At 40.1% G+C, this 20,419-nt stretch overlaps 1 long non-coding RNA gene and 1 pseudogene across 2 annotated transcripts in view; one reads left to right on the top strand and one right to left on the bottom strand.

The window, feature by feature from the left end:
* LOC105373220 (uncharacterized) overlaps nucleotides 1–8,554 on the bottom strand; it is a 121,907-nt gene extending 113,353 nt beyond the window's left edge. The window contains exons 1-3 of one of the 2 annotated variants that reach the window (XR_949308.3): nucleotides 8,423–8,554; nucleotides 5,798–5,866; nucleotides 5,357–5,419 (exon numbers count right to left, since the gene is read on the bottom strand). This is a non-coding gene — a long non-coding RNA (uncharacterized LOC105373220). The remainder of the gene's footprint in view (nucleotides 1–5,356; nucleotides 5,420–5,797; nucleotides 5,867–8,422) is intronic. The other variant, XR_949311.3, reaches the window with a different exon arrangement.
* Nucleotides 5,843–5,944, top strand: RNU6-725P (RNA, U6 small nuclear 725, pseudogene; annotated as a pseudogene).
* Nucleotides 8,555–20,419: the final 11,865 nt, after the last annotated feature.

Below are 20,419 nucleotides of genomic sequence, written 5' to 3'. Positions count from 1 at the left end.
GGACTGCAATTTCTTACTTACAAAAACCATCCACTTATCTTTTCTAGCAATGAGAGATTATTGAGCTCATACACACCACAACTGTAGGCATTAGAGTGAGTCAAGATAAATATAATATGCTCCTTGCCCCTGTAAAGATCATAATTTAATTCGGAAGCCAAATACATCAACAATCATTAATGTTTTCATTGTTACAACAACATGTTGTAGCACAAAGGAGGGGGGCAATTAACTTTGTGGGGATAGGAAGGAAAACCTGATGGAGGAGGAAAGATTTGACTTGGTTCCCAAGTGATTATTTGCACTGTTATTCATTTTACACTTGCCAACTCAAAATTGTTGCCTCGTGATGCATATCATTTCAATTTCAGAAGGCCAAAGGTATACGGATTCTTTTTGTCATAGTGTCTTCTTAAATCTGGGGTAGACAAACTTTTCTCTAAAGAACTAGATGGAAAAAATTTTAGACTTTGCAACCACATCAGCTCTGTCACATCTACTCAACTGTGCAATCCAGGGTAAGCAGCCACAGACAATATGTAAACAATAATATGTAATTAAATGGGTATGGCTGTGTTCCAATAAAATTTATTTACAAAAACAATCAGATAGTCAGAATTTGTTTGCAAGCTACAGATTAACAACATCCATCTTAGATAAATAATATAAAAATATAAAATAGTGAAAAGGTAGTACACTCTGTGCTGGAACTTACGAAGACATATACATGGAAAATGGACGCTTCTTGCTTTCAAAAACAAACACAAAAAGCAAAGAGTTTACCAATGTACAAGATTTATGTTAAAGGAATTATACCAAGATTTCAGTCTTAAATTTTAGCCTTGGACTTAGTATCTAAATTGAATTAGGAAACCACACTTAATCTGACTTCATCTCATTTTGATGTGTTGCTTCAGACTTTAACTAATATATTAGGGTTTTGTTTTGTCTTGTTTTCAATGTATCCAGTTTGTTCAAAAGACTTCAGCCTAGGTCGGTTACAGGAAAACAATCATACCGTCCTATTGACTAATTATGCCCAAAATAGTTCACATCAGACACAGTTGTAGGGTAAAATCATGTTTCTAGATTAGGCTCAGAAGCTGGGATGAGAAGGAGGAACTCAAAGGAATTTTATTTTTAGATGTGATCAAATTTAGTAAAGAGAAGGAACAGGCTGCGGTTTCAGAAACAACGGATAGGGCTCAAGAGGAAGGTCACCAGCAAGTAAGATACAAGGGTCTGAAACCTCCAGAATCCAGCGGATCCCAGGTTAAAGTACATGTGCTCAGGCAACCTTTTCACTATCTTAATATCTTCACTATCTTAATACTAGCACTATCTTAAGGGTATAATTTAATGCCTATTGAGAGCCAGGCTGGGGTTAATATCAGAGTTGGAAGCCATGAGAGACTGTTGAAAACCTGGCTAGTTGTCTAAGCTTCAAATGTGAAATGAGATAAAATCAGAGTAAGTGAATTTAATGAAAAAGAGAAAACGATGAATTCAAGGAGAATAAAGATAGTGGTCATATCAGAGTGATATGACCTCATATTCACTTTGGAAAACAGTGAGAAATAAGATGGAAAATAAGGACCAAGGGACAACATGTGGACCTCTGAAAGGAGGGTTTTGTTTTCAAAATGTTACAGAGACACAATTTGGATTTTTCAGCCGAGGAGTGACATGTTCCTTGAGAGATTCTTATTTGGTGCCATAATTAGAGAAGAATTGTGGTGTGGGAACAACATTCTTGAAATCCAGTCAAGTGGTTTGCTGAGTGGCATGAAAATGAATCATTGCAGGCTGGGATTTGGAAGGTGTCAGGGGGAATTGCAAGAAATTTTTAATTTTTGACAGAGTGAGTAAAGGAGAGAGATCTGTCACAGAGAACTCCAAGGTTTTGAGTGAAAGTAATTGGAAAAATGGTAATATCCTTAGAAGAGACAAGGAAATTGAAGAGAGAATCTAATTTGGAGCATATATGGCAGATTCACCTAAAGAGACGTCTGGAGGATGAACTTTCTATTAACTTTCAATCTGGTGCAAATGTGCAAGAGTTTTTTTTTAAATTTTTTATTTTCTAATAATAGAGAAGTAACCTTGGGAAAAATGCTCTGACTTTCTAAGCAGTCTCTCTACCTAATATTGGAGCATTTTATTCTAAAAGGTGGTTTGGTAACACGATGCTACTTCTCACCCTGGCAAACCCACTTCACACAGGCTGCATTCAGTAGGGTGTGGACCTGATACAGCTTCAGGGTACAGGAGACTGGGGGTTACACAGCCAAACCTCAGTACTAACTTATTTCAGACCTTCCCGCTGTCCACATGTAACAAAATTATCCTTTGTTATAGGAGTAAATAGTTTTATTTTATTGTATCTTATTTTCTTTATTTTAGAGATAGGGTCTCATTCTCTTGCCCAGACTGAAGTGCAGTGGGGTGATCATAGAACTCCTGGGCTCAAGTGCTTCTCCTGCCTCAGCCTCCCATGTAGTTAGGACTACAGGCACACTCCACCATGCCTGGCTAATTATTTTTATCTTTATTTTGTAGAGACAGGGTCTCATCATGATGGTCTGGAACTCCATGGCCTCAAGTGATCCCCTCACCCAGGTGTCCCAGAGTATTGGCATTGCAGGTATGAGCCACTGCACCCAGCCAGGAGTAAATATTTTTAATAAATATCTTTACTAAAAGGTTTCAATCAATGTTCTCATTAAGAATCACAATTTATCATTTTGTAATCCCCACTGATCAAGGAAGAATATTGTCTCATTTTACACATATTGATCCTATGGAGAAAAAAATTACATAAAAGTGCAAATTATCTAAAATATGAAGGTTAGGATCATATTCTTAGGCGACCATGGAATTTGAAATTTGGGGAGTTGGCAAATTCTCCTAGTATAAGAACACAGAAAGAAGAGCAGCGCTGGGCCTGACCCTAGAAAATGTTTTCAATGAATTATTTTCTAAATGAAAAGTGTACACAGGGTGATCATCAAAGGGGTTCCCATCCAAAAAAAAAAAGCCAGTGTTATGATATCTTGCTAGGAAGAAAAAGCAATTGGAATGTATTGAATGAGTTCTGTAACGTTTTAAGGGAAATGACAAAACTATTATCTACAGGAGATAAGTGAATTGGGGTTTTTCACCAAAAACTTCTTCCCAGCTACTTTAATTATTTGAATAACCTTTAGTAAAATAGAATAAGAAATCAACCTTTTATAGTTCTAGGAGTCTTACTACCCTGATATCCTAAACTTTTTGGAGGCAATAACAAATTTTCTTAATGATACTCTTAAAATCTTTTACTGCAAGTTACAGGAGGCCTTTCTTCACAGGAGAGGCAGTAAAGAGAAGAGAGAAAGTATACGCTAAGGATTACGCTAAGTAAAATAAGCCAGCCACAGAAAGAAAAATACTGCATGATTTTACTTCTAAGTGGGATCTTTCTTTTTAAAAAAAGTCAAATACACAGAGACAGAGAATAAAACAGTGGACAGGGTAGTGAGGAGGAAATAGGGACACTTAGGTCAGAGGATACAAAGTAGCAGCTACTAGGATGAGAGAGTCTAGAGATCTATGGCACAAGATGAGGGCTACAGTTAAAATTGTATGGTATGTGGGATTCCTGCTAAATGAGTAGATTTTAGCTGCTCTTGCCACACACAAAAAATTAGGTGTAATTATCTGAGATGGTAGATGTGTTAATTTGCCTCACGATGGCAACCATTTTACTGTCTGTATGTATCCTGTAACGTCATGCTGCGTGCCTTAAATATATACAATAAAATAGAATTTCTAGGCTGGGCCCAGTGGCTCACGTCTGTAATCCCAGCACTTTGGGAGGCTGAGGCAGGCGGATCACCTGAGGTCAGGAGTTCAAGACAAGCCTGGCCAACATAGTGAAACCCCCTCTCTACTAAAAATACAAAAACTCCCCCTCCCCCTCTTTCTTTCTTTGGTCTCCCTCTGTTGCCGAGGCTGGACTGTACTGCCCTGATCTCAGCTCGCTGCAACCTCCCTGCCTCGGGCTCCCGTGATTCTCCTGCCTCGGCCTGCCAAGTGCCTGGGATTGCAGGCACGCGCCGCCACGCCTGACTGGTTTTTGTATTTTTGGTGGAGACGGGGTTTCGCGGTGTTGACCGGGCTGGTCTCCAGCTCCTGACCTCGAGTGGTCTGCCCGCCTCGGCCTCCCAAGGTGCTGGGATTGCAGACGGAGTCTCCTCACTCAGTGCTCAGTGTTGCCCAGGCTGGAGTACAGTGGCGTGATCTCGGCTCGCTACAACCTCCACCTCCCAGCCACCTGCCTTGGCCTCCCAAAGTGTTAAGATTACAGCCTCTGCCCGGCCGCCACCCCGTCTGGGAAGTGAGGAGCGCCTCTGCCTGGCCGCCCCGTCTGGGAAGTGAGGGGGGCCTCTGCCCGGCTGCCCCGTCTGGGAAGTGAGGGGCACCTCTGCCCGGCTGCCCCGTCTGGGATGCGAGGAGCGCCTCTGCCCCGCCGCCACCCCGTCTGGGAAGTGAGGAGCGCCTCTGCCTGGCCGCTGTGCAATCTTCCAAGTGTGAAGTGACAGCCTTTCTGCAGGTGTACCCAACAGCTCCAAAGAGACAGCGACCATCGAGAACGGGCCAGTATGACGATGGCAGTTTTGTCAAAAAGAAAAGGGGGAGAAAAGAAAAGGGAGAAATGTGGGGAAAAGAAAGAGAGATCAGATTGTTACTGTGTCTGTGTAGAAAGAAGTAGACATAAGAGACTCCATTTTGTTCTGTACTAAGAAAAATTCTTCTGCCTTGGGATGCTGTTAATCTATAACCTTACCCGCAACCCCGTGCTCTCTGAAACATGTGCTGTGTCCACTCAGCATTAAATGGATTAAGGGCGGTGCAAGATGTGCTTTGTTAAACACATGCTTGAAGGCAGCATGCTCCTTAAGAGTCATCACCACTCCCTAATCTCAAATACCCGGGGACACAAACAGGGCCAAAGGCCACGGGGACCTCTGCCTAGGAAAACCAGAGACCTTTGTTCACGTGTTTATCTGCTGACCTTCCCTCCACTATTATCCTATGACCCTGCCACATCCCCGTCTCCGCGAAACACCCAAGAATGATCAACAAATACAAAAAAAAAAAAAAAAAAAAAAGACACAAAACATGTCTCTACAATGTTTTAAAAATCAAAATCATACCAGGTATCTTATCTGACCACAGTGCAACAAAACTAGAAAGCAATAACAAGAGGAACATTTGAAACTATACAAATACGTGGAAATTAAACAACATGCTCCTGAATGACCAGTGGGTGAAGGAAGAGATTAAGAATGAAAATTTAAAATTCCATACTCACTTTGGCAGCACAGATACTGTTTCGGGCCGAAAGGAAGTCCCTCTGCGCCTTCCTTAGTGGCTGCTGCAGAAAGTGAGGGTTGTGATCAACTCAGTATACCACTGGAGGGTATATGAGTAAACAGCAAACTGTTCTCAGAAAAGCAGAACGTTGGCAAACTGGTAAACTGACAAACTGCGTCTACCGCCCAGAAGGAATGCTGAGGCAGTCACGACCCAGGCACAAGTGTTTCTTGTGATTATCTACAGGGCACATCTGAAGCCTCTTAGTAATAATATGAACCTGTGATCAATTAAGCAGCTGAGCAATCATTACCTCCTCCTCCCTGCTCATTCTACTCAACAAATAGGAAGGGCTGTGGAAGCTCAGGTGCTGTTCATGCTCACTGGAAGCTGCGAGTGCTCTTCTTCTTCCCCTGGCCCCTTCCTTTAAAATACTTACTTTTGTTTTAAGTTTTCATTCCTGTGTGGGTCCCCCTTTGTTCAGTCCCGTAGAAACCGTGGCAATATCCTAAAGTGGAAATGATGGAGAAGATTAGCATGACCCCTGCAAGGAGAAGTGCAAATTCATGAAGTGATCCATATTTTTAAAAATGAAAAAAGTTTTAAAAATGTTAAATTCCTTGAAACAAATAAAAATAGAAACACACACACACACACACACACAAAAATACAAAAACTAGCTGGGCGTGGTGGCCGGCACCTGTAACCCCAGCTACTTGCGAGGCTGAGGCAGGAGAATTGTTTGAACCTGGGAGGCAGAAGTTGTAGTGACAAAGATCATGCCACTGCACTCCAGCCTGGGTGACGGAGCGAGACTCTGTCTCAAAAAAAAAAAAAAAAAAAGAAAAAGAGAACAATTGTTTACGCTGTCTTTCTTCCAGGTAGGGCCATGAGATTGATTCCCACAAAAGGAACAAAAAAATAAAGTGTCATTTCTGAGCTGAAGCAGTTATGCCTCCTCCACCATCTTTTGCCTCTGTGGTGACCACAGAAGCCACATGCTGCAGATGACCTCACATCAAGAAAATGATCTGAATCTCTAAAGCATTGCTTGAAGAGTATTAAAGGTATTAAAATTACACTTCAGGCAGATTAGGTGCCTTTGAGAGGCATGAAAAACAAATCAAGTAACAATTATAACTCCGTCTCAAAAAATATATATGTATATATACTTTTTCCTCAAAAAATATATATGTATACATACTTTTCCTCAAAAAATATATATGTATACATATTTTTCCTCAAAAAATACATATGTATTATATTTTTTCCTCAAAAATGTGTATATATATTTTTTTCTCAAAAATTATATATGTGTGTGTATATATATATATATAATATATATATATTTTTAAAGGAGCTTCTCCCCTGTGGCAAAAGATTAAAAACAGAGAATGACGAGTCACTGAGGCTTTTCAAATAAGAAGAAAAATAAGTACAGAAGTTGAGCCTTAGCGTCTCAGGGAATAAGTCCGGAGCCCTTGGACTCATCCCCACTTGGGATTGCTGCTGTGCTAACGGGTCTTCTTTGTTCTGTCCGGGTGCTTTCCAGGCTTAGATACTACATAAAAGACATTTCAGTTGACCTTTGCCTCATTTACTAACTACAGACCTGTTGGCCCAACAGCTGTATGCTTATGCCGTGGGCAGATCAGACCTTCAAATACCTATTAGTGATTCTGCTTTGTCTAGAAGAACAGCCACAAGATTATTTTTTGGAACAAAACTATCTGTTGAAAATACACTGAGAATAAATACATTTGCTCAAAGTCATTTCCCAAACCCACCTAAAAAAGAATTAGCTTGATCTTGTATAAAACCAGTGACCGTAGTTGAGAGAACTGGCTTCTCCAGTGTGGTCCTGGCGTAAGTGACATATGTGTGTTGTCAACTACCCATATGTTTCCTTCCTCTTTAACTCAAATGCTATCTATATTGTCATATTTTATCATGACAATTCCCACTTCAGTGAGGAGAGACACCAAAGCCCTGAAAACATGGGAAGAACAAACGGAAAAGATATGAACAATCTTACTTGCTGATATAATGAGAACGTGCAGTTAAAATGAGGAGCATGCTAGAAGGGAAAATATTTCTGTTATGTTGATTTTCTAAGGAGAGAAAAGAGAAGACATTATGTAAAACTGTTGTAAGAAAGCAGGTGGTTAAAGGGAAAGAAAAGGTGATGACCTCAAAGGGAAGCTTGCTAAAATCAAGGGAAGTTTTTGTGCCTGTGTACAGAGGAAAGGAGGGAGAAAACTCGAACAGCTTGGTACAGAGCCAGGGGCAAAGCAAAGTTTAAGATTTAATAGAAAAAAAGGAGAATGTTTGGTGGATATAGGTCCAGAGTAGCTAAAGCACAAGCAGGTGACTAAACTTTAGAATGGAAAACACCTCTTTCTCTTTTTTTTTTTTTTTTTTGAAACAAGAAAGGTAGAGTAATTAAATTAATGGTAATGATACTGGGGAATTTTAAGAAGAAGGAAAAGCTTCTAAATGTTCAAATCAAATTGCTTCATTCTCTTTTTGTGGGGATAGTAAAATATGCTATCATGGAAAATAGGATTCGTCCTTTGAGAGGCATGAAAAACAAATTGCGTAACAATTATAAGGCATGGTATAGAAATGCTGCAAAATGCTTTTTTAAATGACTATCAGTTAGAAGAGGTGCTTACCTGTGGTTAAATATAGACTTGGCAATTGATAGACTAGAGCAATAGAGATGACAGATCAGGGGTGAGAGAGGCAATAAAGAGTAGAGTTAGCGGGAGAAAACAGCTGGCAAAGGTAAAAGGGGGGATGTTTTCATGGCGCAATCAAGGGGGTGGCCAAGGTCCCTGGAGGCACCTTGACTGAGGGACACAGTTTGAATGAAATTGAAGAATTTAAGGACTTGCAAAAACGTGCAAACATTCTGTCAGGGCAGAAACTGAGAATGAATGCACACGCCAACCCAACTATGCCCTTTTCCACAACACGGACTCCCCCAGCTTCTCATCTTAGCTCCTTCTCTGGACTCAAAGTATATCAATATCTCCAAAGCTTAGTTCTTAATATCTGCTACCTTTGCTTCTTATTCACTCCTCTGTGTGTTTGATAATGGCACATGTACTCTCCCATCCTGTATTAGCTGGTTCTGATTCATGTTTCTTTCTCTGCTTGGCAGTCCTTTCTACCCTCCCTGCTTGGCAGTCCTTTCTACCCTCCCCAGCCTCTGGCTAACACACAGAGCAAAACAGCATCATTGTGATGCTACAATATACCAGAATAGTGGTAGAACGCAGATTATGGAGAGAACAATGGGGTAAGAATCACAGGTATTCAAGACATATGAAAGCTTGCCCTGCAACTAGGCAAAAGGTGCTTATGAAGAAGGACTAGAAAACATAGATTAGCCTGGACCACAATGGAGAGTGGCAGATGGCTATAGAACCCCAAAGTAGGTTAAAACTGTGTTGTCCTCTCCAGATATCTGACTAAGATTTATGCAAGTTTACATACACATTTGTTCTTAATGTTCAAATGCCTTAATAAATGATCTTGCCACTTTAAACAATAAACAAGTTTTTTTGTTTTGTTTTGTTTTGTTTTTGGAGAGAAAGTCTCACTCTGTTGCCCAGGCTGGAGTGCAGTGGTGCAATCTTGGCTCACTGCAATATCTGCCTCCCGGGTTCAAGCAATTGTTCTGCCTCAGCCTCCCAAGTAGCTGGGACTACAGGCACCTGCCACCACACCTGGCTAATTTTCGTAGTTTTAGTAGAGATGGGGTTTCACTATGTTGGCCGGGCTCATCTCGAACTCCTGACCTCACGTGATCCACCCACCTCAGCCTCCCTAAGTGCTGGGATTACAGGCGTGAGCCACCACACCCGGCCTAAACAAGTGTTAATTTTGGTTGCATCACAATAAATAGAACCTGAGAAAGTATGTGATAGCCACATGATAAAAAGGTTTATTTATATAATAATCATTTAGATCTTAAAAGGACCAAGCCAATTCTGTATCCACTTGCACAGAGGTATCTCAGTGACGTGACCTTCCTAAAATTTTCATCCAGTTGCTTCCCTGCCCTGCTTAAAAGATCTCCGACAGCTCCCCATGGCTTCTGGGAATCAGTCACTTTCAGAGTGTAGAGTAGCTTCACATCCCAGTTTTCCCCAGACAGTCTCAGTTCACACTGACTATCTTGTCAAAATTACTTATAGCTTTCACTTTCACCCTAAAAAGCAGAGCAGTTTGGATATAAATCATAGTCATCACAAATTTAAAGACTTTAATATCTCATACATGTTCAGCCTCATATCCTGCTATTCCTTCAAAACTCCTTCAGACGTGTGGAACGTGTCATAATTTTGGAACACATCAAGTAGTTCCATTTCTGTATTCTTTTTATTGCCCAACGTGCACTATTTTCACAGCCTTTTAAGTCTTCTTTTACATCCTTAACCCTATACCCATTTATCCACCTGGAAAGCTCCAGCTTACCCTTGAAATCCTAGATCAGGTGCTACTCTCACTAAAGGCCTTGTCCACGCCTGGAGAATAAGCTTTTCATTCCTGTTCTGTGAGCACACACCTCTCACACACCTCCACTGTAGCATCTGTGGCATTTTACTGTACGTGTAGGTTTATCTGTGTCCCTCATCAGACTCGGATCTTTGAGAATATGTTTAAATATGTCCAAAAGAACACATTTATGAGCTCAGCCTCCTCCAAGAAAAATCCTAGTCCGATTCCAGCACTGCCCATCTCAAAGAACAGAAACAAGAGCTTCTGCTGAAAAAGTTGGAAACCAGCTATCATTCTTGGCTCTTCTCTCTCACTCACCTTTTCCCACTTCACCCTATCACAAAATTTAGATTTTACCTTCTGAATCCTCACTTCTGTTATCTCCACCAAAGTCCAAGCAATAGCCATCTCTTATATAGACTGAATCTATAGCATTCTAACCAGGTTGGCTGCAGATACTCTGACTATTCTCAACATTTCACTCAGAGTATTCTTTCTGAAAATAAAAAACTTCACTATTACTTATGTTTAAATTCTAGCAATTATTTCCTGTTAATCTAATGATGGAGATCCAAATTCTGAGCTCAACCTGCCAATGTCTATTCATCAAAAATACCTGGCTTTATCTACTCAATGCCTGTTTATCCTTGAACTCTCAGCTCAAGTATCACTTTCTCAGGGAAGACATTTTCTGACTTCCCTGAGTCAAATCTCCCTATTATAGACTTTCATTTGACCACCACTTGAGCATTTATTTCATTGCATATGTTAATTTCACTTGTATCACCTAGATACAGTTCACAAGCTAGACTGTACACTTATTATTATTATTGTTATTTTTTGCATAGGGGTCTTGCTTGTTCAGCCAGGCTGGAGTACAGTGCTATAAGCATAGCTCACTGCAACCTTGAACTCTTGGGCTCAAGCGATCCTCCTGCCTTAGCCTCTCAAGTAGAAATTATGCAGGATATTTTACTCCTTAGCTCAGCTAGGTGCAGGTTCTTGTCTCACAACCAGGAAAAATTAGGCACACGGACACCGGAGAGTGAGTGGAGTAGAGTTTATTTATTTTATTTTATTTCTTTATTTATTTTGAGACAGAGACTCGCTCTGTCGCTCAGGCTGGAGTGCAGTGGTGCAATCTCGGCTCATGGCAACCTCTGCCTCCCAGGTTCAATCGCCTTCCAATTCTCCTACCTCAGCCTCCTGAGTAGCTGGTACTACAGGCACCCACCACCACACCTGGCTAATATTTTGTATTTTTAGTAGAGACGGGGTTTCACCATGTTAGCCAGGATGGTCTCGATCTCCTGATTTTGTGATCTGCCCGCCTCATCCTCCCAAAGTGGTGGGATTACAGGCGTGAGTCACTGTACCCGGTCCTGGAGTAGAGTTTATTAAGTGAAAGTAAAGCTGTCAGCAAAGAGTGGGGACCTGAAAGCAGGGTCCTTGTTACCTCCTTAACAGTTGAATACAAGGGCTTTTACATATAAGCCAATGGGGCTGGATTCCCTATTTGTATAAGGCGCGAATTCCTGGTGTCACCACCCCATTCCCCCAGTGCACATACAGGACCTTAGTCGGCCGTGGGCATGTTTAGGCAAGCTCCTGTGCAGGTTGCCTTATTTGCACAAAACACAGGTTGGAGGTTCTCCGGGAACCCCTTCCTTCCTATTTGCCTAAAGCAAGCTGACTGACTCCTTTCAATTAGGACTGCAGGCATGCACCACCATGCCCAGCTAAGTTTTTAAAATATTTTTTAGAGACATGGGTCTCACTATGTTGCCCAGGCTGGTCTCAAACTCCTGGCCTAAAGTCATTCCCTCACCCCAGCCTCCCAAAGCCCTAGGGACTGTATACTTCACAAAGGCAGGATCCATTTCTGGTTTTGCTCACTATGCTACCCAAAACCCTAGTCATAGTAAATACATATGTGTAAATGATTGAATGATGACTGAATGAATGAGAGTCTTGCTTGTCTTTATAGCTTCAGTGGTAAGGATGATACCTAGAACTTAGAAACAGATAAGTAAATAGGATTTTATATTTTCTTTGGATAAGTATTTTATATTTTATATAAACACTTTTCTTTGGATAAGTGTTTAATTATACTATTTACCTTTTTATCAAGGGAAAAGGGAGTTTGTTCTGTCTTGTTTAGTCTGGAAGAGTTCAAAGAACGGAATTAAACTTTCGCTATGTTTTCTTTTTTCTTCCCTCAGGTCCTTTTATTTCTAAGCCATGCTCTAGTACATAATACTTTGCTCTCGTCTTTTGGCTATTAAAATTACACCTCAGGTGGGTTAGGTGAGGAACTGTGGTAGTTTCAATTGACGCCCAACCCCTGCCAAAGAAATAGCAGATGGGGCTTTGAATTATTTCATGAAGACCTGAATTATCTGAAACAGATAGTATAAACTCAAACAACTTCAGGGGTCAGAGAATATAAATGAATGAAATTTGAGGGTGTAAAAGAGTGCATGTCCTATTTAAAGTCACTCAGATTCCCAGTTGGTTTTAACTCTGGTATGGTCAGAGATCAACATGTTATTAATGTATAATGGAAGGTTGTAGTGTGCTACCCTTATCTGGTATATCATGGATAATATTTTTATAGCTTGGCTTAATTTGTTTTAAATCTCCAAGCTGAATAGTAACAAATTATTTAGACTGTCAAGTTAAAATATAGATACATGTATGTTTATTATAAGTTAAAATATAGATATATATGCACACACATATGTGTGTGTGTATTTAAAAATATATCTCCAGTTCCCTAACACTGTGCTTTAAATGAAGTGTTGCGTTGGAAAAATAAACCCTAAAGTGTAATTCTACACTTGTTAATGGGTTGATGAGATGTTCGATTTAATTGGCTTTCTTCATGTTGTGCTTCTGGTGTCAGGGAAAAGATAGTTCTTACTGTCAATTTCTTCCTAATTTATCTCATGTTGAATGCTCTGCCAATTTAGCTATTCAATTACAGCAATATTCATTTTTCTTACTTACAGGAGTTTAACTCTGGAATGACCTGCATATTTGAAATAGAGGATTAAATCAGAGTCAATTATGTTACTCATGGTTATGGAGGACAGGGATATTATGATAAATGAAATCTGCTTGTAATCCAGAAAGCCTCATTTTAGGCAAATGCATCACAATTTTACTAGAGTGACTTTTATTAGTCTTGCCAACAAGAAGCAAATAGTCAGTACATTTCCTTCTTCAATATGTCACTTACTAAACATGCAAAAGGGCAGCATGCTGGCCAGTGTGGGAGGAGCAGGAAGAAATGGAGAGGCCAAAGGTCCAGTGTACCATGTTGTAATTAGTCTGTTCTCACACTGCTAATAAAGGCATACCCGAGACTGGGTAATTTATAAAGGAAAGAGGTTTAATTGACTCACAGTTCAGCATGGCTGGAGAAGCCTCAGGAAACTTACATGGTGGAAGGGAAAGCAAACACGTCCTTCTTCACATGCCAACAACGTGGAAAAGTGCTGAGCAAAAGGGGGAAAAGTCCTTTATATAATCATAAGAACTCATGAGAACTCACTCACTATCATGAGAACAGCATGAGGGTAACCGCTCCCATGATTCAATTACCTCCCACCAGGTCCTCTCAGAACATGTGGGGATTATGGGAACTACCATTCAAGATGAGATTTGGGTGAGGACACAGCCAAACCATATCACATGTACACACCAAAGTTAGCTTAAGAAGATAAAAATTAGTCATTTATTTGTTTTACTTTTTTTGATTTGTTTAAATGAAAACAAATGAATATAACATTTATTCTAGCAGAAATATTGAAGGATTCCTATGAAATTCTTATTTCTTAACTATTAAAAGGTATAATTTATTATGAAGATAAAAACAGACATTCATTTATTCTTACAGGTAAGGAAATTACAATGGAAATCAGAGACAAAATGGGGAAAAAAGGTAAGTTCTAAAATGTAGCCAAGTGAGAACGAGGGGAAAAGTTAAAAGCTGGTTTCTACCAAACCAAATTTTTCTATAAGTTAGTGTACTACCAAGAAACAGAAAGCACATTGAAATGGGATTATGTTTGAAGATGTTTGAGTGCTATTAAAAAATTAGGTGGTAGTTGGAAAGGAAAAAGGGACCAAAAAAGGGTTCTTTTTCAATGTTTTTGTCTTTTATGGTAGGTGATATTAGAGCATGTTTATATACTAATAGTAATGATCTAATAGAAGAAGAGAAATTGCTCAACAGGAGAAGTAATAATTTCCAGAACGGAGGTCCAATAAGTTGAGTGAGAATAGAGCACAGAACTCGAGTGAAGAAGGAGTTGCATTTTATACGAACAAGAATTCATTCATAATGTGACTGACCATGCAACCAAGGCAGCTCCTCTTCCCCATCAGACAACTATTGTTTACAGCTGTCTTTCTCCCAGGTAGGGCCATGAGATTGATTCCCACAGAGGGAATAAAGAAAGAAAGTGTCACTTCTGAGCTGAAGCAGTTATGCCTTCTCCACCATCTTTTGCCTCTATGGTGATCACAGAAGCCACATGTTGCAGATGACCTCATATCAAGAAAGTGATCTGAATCTCTAAAGCATTGCTTGAAGAGAAGCTGTCCAGGAAAGCTACATGACCAGGAACAGATGCATGGACTTCAAGTGAGCGATAAGCAAACTATCATGGGAGAAGCCACTGAGACGCTGAGCATTTCCTCTCAGCAGTCAACATACCTTAGTGAGTATTCACAGGATGAAAAGCTGAAAGTGTGCTAGGGACACAAATGGATCGGTAGATTTCATAGAAAGAAGACTGGGGTAGCTTCTAAATGTGTGTTTTTTAAAATGGCCCAAGTTTATAAGCTAGGAAGGGGGGAAAGGAGAGTTTGGTATAGGATGTTTGAGTAGGAAAGCAGGCATGTATTTGTCATTTTGGCGAATGAGAAAGTGAACACACTGAGGAGTTTAGTAGACATGCTGGATAGCGGCAACATCCGATTTGAGATTTGAGATCACAAATGTAATATGTCTAACATTGGTTGAAAGACATTCTAGTTAAGCATACAAACAAACACAAGCTTGTTTCAGAACAAAGGTAAAGAATTCAGACTTCATCTAATTACACTTTGATGAATAAAAGGAGATTATAAGATATTTAAAGAGGGAAGAACAGGACAATTTCAGATGGATCAAGCAAGGCTGAACAAGGGACAATGGCTTTCGCTGCTGTAAATAGTACTATGGCACAACAGGAGAATCAATGAGGGGAGAAACTGGTGCAGCAGTTTTGAAATATCTACAGAAGACTTGACAACAATACTTGAATGAGGACAATATCTCTGGTTTATTGAATGTTGATCATGTGCCCAAGAGTACATTAAGTCGTTACATATCAAGATATGTAATCTGTGAGGGAAATATTGATTTTATGTCCTTATTTTAAATGTGAAGAAAAAAGGACCCATTACAGTGAAGAGATTTGCCCAGTGGTGCACAATTAGAAAATGGCAGAGCGAGATTCAACTCCACACAATCAGATTCCGGAACCAACTGCTTCCCCAAAGCTCTAGTTCCCCCAAAGCTCTAGTTCCCTCCCTACAGAGGGCCTTTGGCTAAGACACCAGGTGCTTACATTTTTATTAAGTCACTACTCTGAGGCCCAAGGGAGCTGAGGAAATTGAGAGCATGCAAGAGAAATGGTGCTTCCACTGGTGTTTTCACCAAATAAATTAAAATTTAACCATAAAAAAATTATTAAAAAGCACAAAAGATGCTGATATGCTTATGAAGTTCCTGCTTATGAAGTTCCTTTTTTATAATAAAGAAATTATATTTAATCTACGTGGGCTTGCTCTTTAGTCAAAATACACTTCTGTCTCCTATTCAGTCATCCTTCCACTGCTTTAAAGCAATTTACTTTGTTATGTCAATTTTAATGTAAAATGATTTGTTTTAGATTAATTTTATTTCTTGGGAATTAACTACACAAGAAATGTTCTCTAAGATCAGCTGCATGTCTTCTGTCAAACAAATTTCAATCATGTGAAAATTTCAAGGAATTTTGGTAAGAAAAGTTTTTAGTATCCAAAGTTAAAATGGACATTATGGCCTTAATCACCATCCATGGGAACAATTCACATGTACAAAAATAATTGCACTATCAAATTAGTTTCCTCTAGTTTTGGTACCATCTTCTATCAGATTTTTTTTTCTTGAAAGAATTAAGATTTCAGTATCACCCTTCCCATTCTGTCTTCCACAGCTATAATTATTTTTATCATCTATATCCTCTATTGTTTCCCAGTTGAATTAATCAAGTAAATTGTATTAACTGAGACCGCTAGGGTCCTCCTCAAACTCCTCAATTTAATGACTATCGGGAGAGTAGAAAATAAAGCTATTTAAAAGTGGCATTTCCTTTAGCATCTAACATACAGAAGATATATATATAAAATCAATGTAAGTGATAGCAATATCTTGAAAAATTTCAGTTGCTTGAAGAATGGGGTAGTGTATTTGTTTCCTATTGCTCCTATAACAAATTATCGCAAATTTAGTGGCTTGAAACAACAGGAATTTATCTTGCATTTCTGAAGGTCAGAAGTCCAAAATCCATTTCAGTGGGCTAAAATTGAGATGTCTATAGCGCTACATTCCTTCTGGAGCCTCTGGGAGAGGATCATTTTTCTTACTTTTTCCAGCTTCTAGAGGACACCTACATTCCTAGCCTCAATGCCTCACTCTCCACGTTTAAAGCCAGTAGTGTATCATCATTTCTCCTTCCTGACCTCTGCTTCCATCCTTACATTTTCTCCCTCTGACTGATCCTGCCTCCCTCTTACAAAGACCATTGTGATGACATTAGGGACATTTGAATAATCCAGGATAATCTGCCTATGTCAAAATTCTTCACTTAATCACATCTGCAGAATTCCTTTGCCCTGTGAGATGGTTGAATTTATATGTCAACCTGACTAGGTTAAGGGATGCCCAGATAGCTGATAAAATTTTATTTCTGGGTGTGCCTGTAAAGGTGTTTGCGAAAGAGATTTGTATTTGAATTTGTAGACCCAGTAAAGAAGATCCACCCTCACCAATGTAGGTGGATATCATCCAATCCTCTGAGGGCCTGAATACAAAAACAAAACAAAGCAAAACAAAATAACCCCCCCCCCCCGACACACACACACACACCAAAAAAAAAAAAGACAGAGGAAGGATGAGTTTACTCTCTTTCTTCTTGAGGCGGAATCCATCTGTTCCTACCCTCAGACATTGGAGCTCCTGGTTCTCAGACCTTCAGACTTTGGGAGTTACACTAGGAACCCCTCATCTGATTCTCAGGCCCACAGACTCAAATGGAATTATACCACTAGCTTTCCTGGTTTTCCAGCTTGCAGATGATAGATTGTGAAACTTCTCAGCCTCCATAATTGCATGAGCCAATTCTTATAATAAATCTTTATATGTATACACAAATACACACAACACAAACACATACATATACATTACATATACATATCTGTGTGTGTTTATATATAGATGTAGTGAGAGAGAGAGAGAGAAGAGAGAAAGAGAGAGAGAACTTGCTGGTTCCGATTCTCTGGAGAACCCTGCTCAATACATCATGTAAGGTAACACATTCACAGGTTCCAGAGATTAGAATGTGCACAGCTTTGAGGGGCCATTATTCTGCCTACCACAGATAGTGGAATGGAAAAGCAGCTAGGAATCAGAAGAGCTGGGTTCTGGTTCCTGTTCTGACATTTAAATAACTAGATATTCTAGGGGTATAGAAGTCGACATGACTGGTACACCACCACACTCACCCTGCTGCCTAGACATTCCATTTTACATCAGAGAAATCAAGACCCACAGAGGGTCCCTGAGTTGCTCGAAGCCAAAACCTAAAAGTAGCAGAAGTGAAATAAAACACAGGTTCTGAGTTCCTTGCCAGTGCCCCTCCTGCTGTATCACACTGACAGGTGACTTTTTGCACCTAACACATGTCCACAGGATGGTTGAGAGAAGCAAATGAGACTGCACAAGTGAAAGTCTTTTGCCTTTATGAAATGCTCTACTATAGGAGACATTTTTATTACTTTCACAGTATAAACAAAGCACTATCAAACAACGTTAGGTCTCTTTTCTCTCAATCAGTAAAGACCAAAGGCTTGAGAGGAGAAAACATAGAAAGTAAAAATTTTGTGCTTGAAGTAAGGGAAAATAAAGTTAGGCCCAGGAGTTTTACTGAGGGCCACTCAAAATTCCCCTTCACTCTCAAAAAGAAATGTTAAATTCAGCATCAAATTGATTACTTGCTAAATGCTTATTTAGAGAGGAAAAGGATAATAGGAGGGGAAACATCAGCTTTCCACTCAGTATCTGCTCTGCTGACTCACATGTCCATTTGCAGAGACGAAAATTCTCAACTGAGCTTCAAACATGTTTAGGATTTCTTGCAAAAATTAAATTGCTCCTACAACTCATGGAATTATATCTAACAAAGGATTGCTTCAAGGGCAAGCTTGACCTATTAGCAGATGGGAGCACAGCTGATGAAATAAAGTGATTAATGCTTACATTTAATGGATTAAACTCAACAACCCAGTGATGATGGAAGACCTACCTATTAGCTCCACTGCAGCTTGTAAGCATGGCCTTCAAATCCTGAGACAGCTTTTGAACAGAAAGGCCTTTTAGAGAAAACTAATGTGCTGAACTGAGGGAAAGGCAAATGGGGTTCACTCAAGAGTTTCATCTCTGAAATGACTACATTACATAAGGGAAAGTAAATTCTCAAAGTTTGGTGGCTGGGTAGGAGGGAGGTCCACCAGTTTTCTTATAGTTGAAGTCTGGTTAAAACAAAAATCCCACAGGTCCTATGAGTCATTTGTTAAGAAGAGAAAGTCTTTCCTGTAGGCCTTGCTAAAGGTTTGATGTTGGGAACCAATTAGCAGCTGTGGCAAATCGTTTTAATGACGAAAAAGCATGAATTAGTTTCAGAGAACGGTGTGGACTCTATTTTTTAAGTTCGGAGGTTTTGAAGCTATCCTGGCCTCGTGTTAGAAAGTAGGTCATGCCTGTGTCTCCGTGTTCTTATTGATAGATACCAAAATGTGTAAGTCCCAGCTGGCAAAAGCAAACTGAATTAGCTTCAGAATGTTACCTAAACATCACCAAGTGCTACAGACCGAATGTTTGTGTCTCCTCAAAATTCAAATGTACCCCATTAATCTCCCCTAAGGACGTGGTATTAGGAGATAAAGCCTTTAGGAGGTTATTAGATCACGAGGGAGAAGGCATCACAAATGGAGAAAGTGCTCTTATAAAAAGAATTCCAGTAGTCTCCCTTGCCCCTTCCACCATGTGAGGACACAGCGAGAAGGTGGCTGTCTGTGAATCTGCTGCTGTCTTAATCTTGAACTTCCAAGTCTTCTGAAACGTAAGAAATCAACTTATAATATTCATAAGCCACTCAGTCCATAGTATTTTTATACAGCAGACCAAGTGGACTAAGAAACCAGGAGACTGGGAAGAGAAGTGGAGGTAACTTTTTTTTTTTTTTTTTGAGACAGAGTCTCGCTCTGTTGCCCAGGCTGGAGTGCAGTGGTGCAACCTCAGCTCACTGCAACCTCTGCCTCCCAGGTTCAAGCAATTCTCCTGCCTCAGCCTCCCGAGTAGCTGGGAATACAGGTGCCCACCACCACTCCCGGCTAATTTTCTGTATTTTTAGTAGAGACAGGGTTTCACCGTGTTAGCCAGGATAGTCTCAATCTCCTGACCTCTTGATCCTCCTGCCTTGGCCTCCCAAAGTGCTGGGATTACAGGCGTGAGCCAGTGTGCCCGGCTGGCAGCTTCTGTATGGTAATAAGCCCTCTACAATTCTCTGCCTATCAGAATCTCAGCATCCTAATATTGAAACCCTGTGAATGCAAGCCTGGATCAGCTGGAGATTTCCCTACTATGCAATGCTACAACTGACACTGAGGAGTTAATCTGATGCGGTCTGCCAAACTTAGCCTGCTCTGCTTGATTTTGGTGTCTTGCAGTTTTTTTTTTTTTCCATGAAACTGAAGGCTGCAGTAGCTGAAGGCTATGCTGCTGAACACTGTAACTTAACCTTCCTTGGGTACCTTATAGATAACCTTTTTAAGTCACCATGGTAACAATCACTTAAGTTGTTCTTTAGGAGCTTAGGGGTAGCTCCCATCCAGGTCAAACTGGTTGAGACCACTGACCCTTCAACTGGGGCTGTGGAAATACCTGAGTGGTGGCCTTTTGACCTCACAGACACAAATACTTCACCCTGTCATCATGCTAATGCTGCCATTCTCTGAAAAATACATCCCATGAAATGCCATGAACACGATGTTTGTATAGATAACTGATTAGTTCATTTTTCCCACTGCCAGTCACCTTTCTCTATGTCTTAGACCACCCCACTTCTGTAACCCATAAATATCCCTAAGCCCTATCTTTAGGAAGGTGGATTTGAAACCTGTTCTCCTGCCTCCTTGCTTGGCTGCCTCATGAATAATCCCTACCTCTTTTGCAAACTCT

This window comes from Homo sapiens, chromosome 1, assembly GCF_000001405.40.
Source record: "Homo sapiens chromosome 1, GRCh38.p14 Primary Assembly".
Classification (NCBI taxonomy): domain Eukaryota; kingdom Metazoa; phylum Chordata; class Mammalia; order Primates; family Hominidae; genus Homo; species Homo sapiens.
Note: the sequence above shows the minus strand (reverse complement) of the source record. Positions and strands in the feature narration are given on the sequence as shown.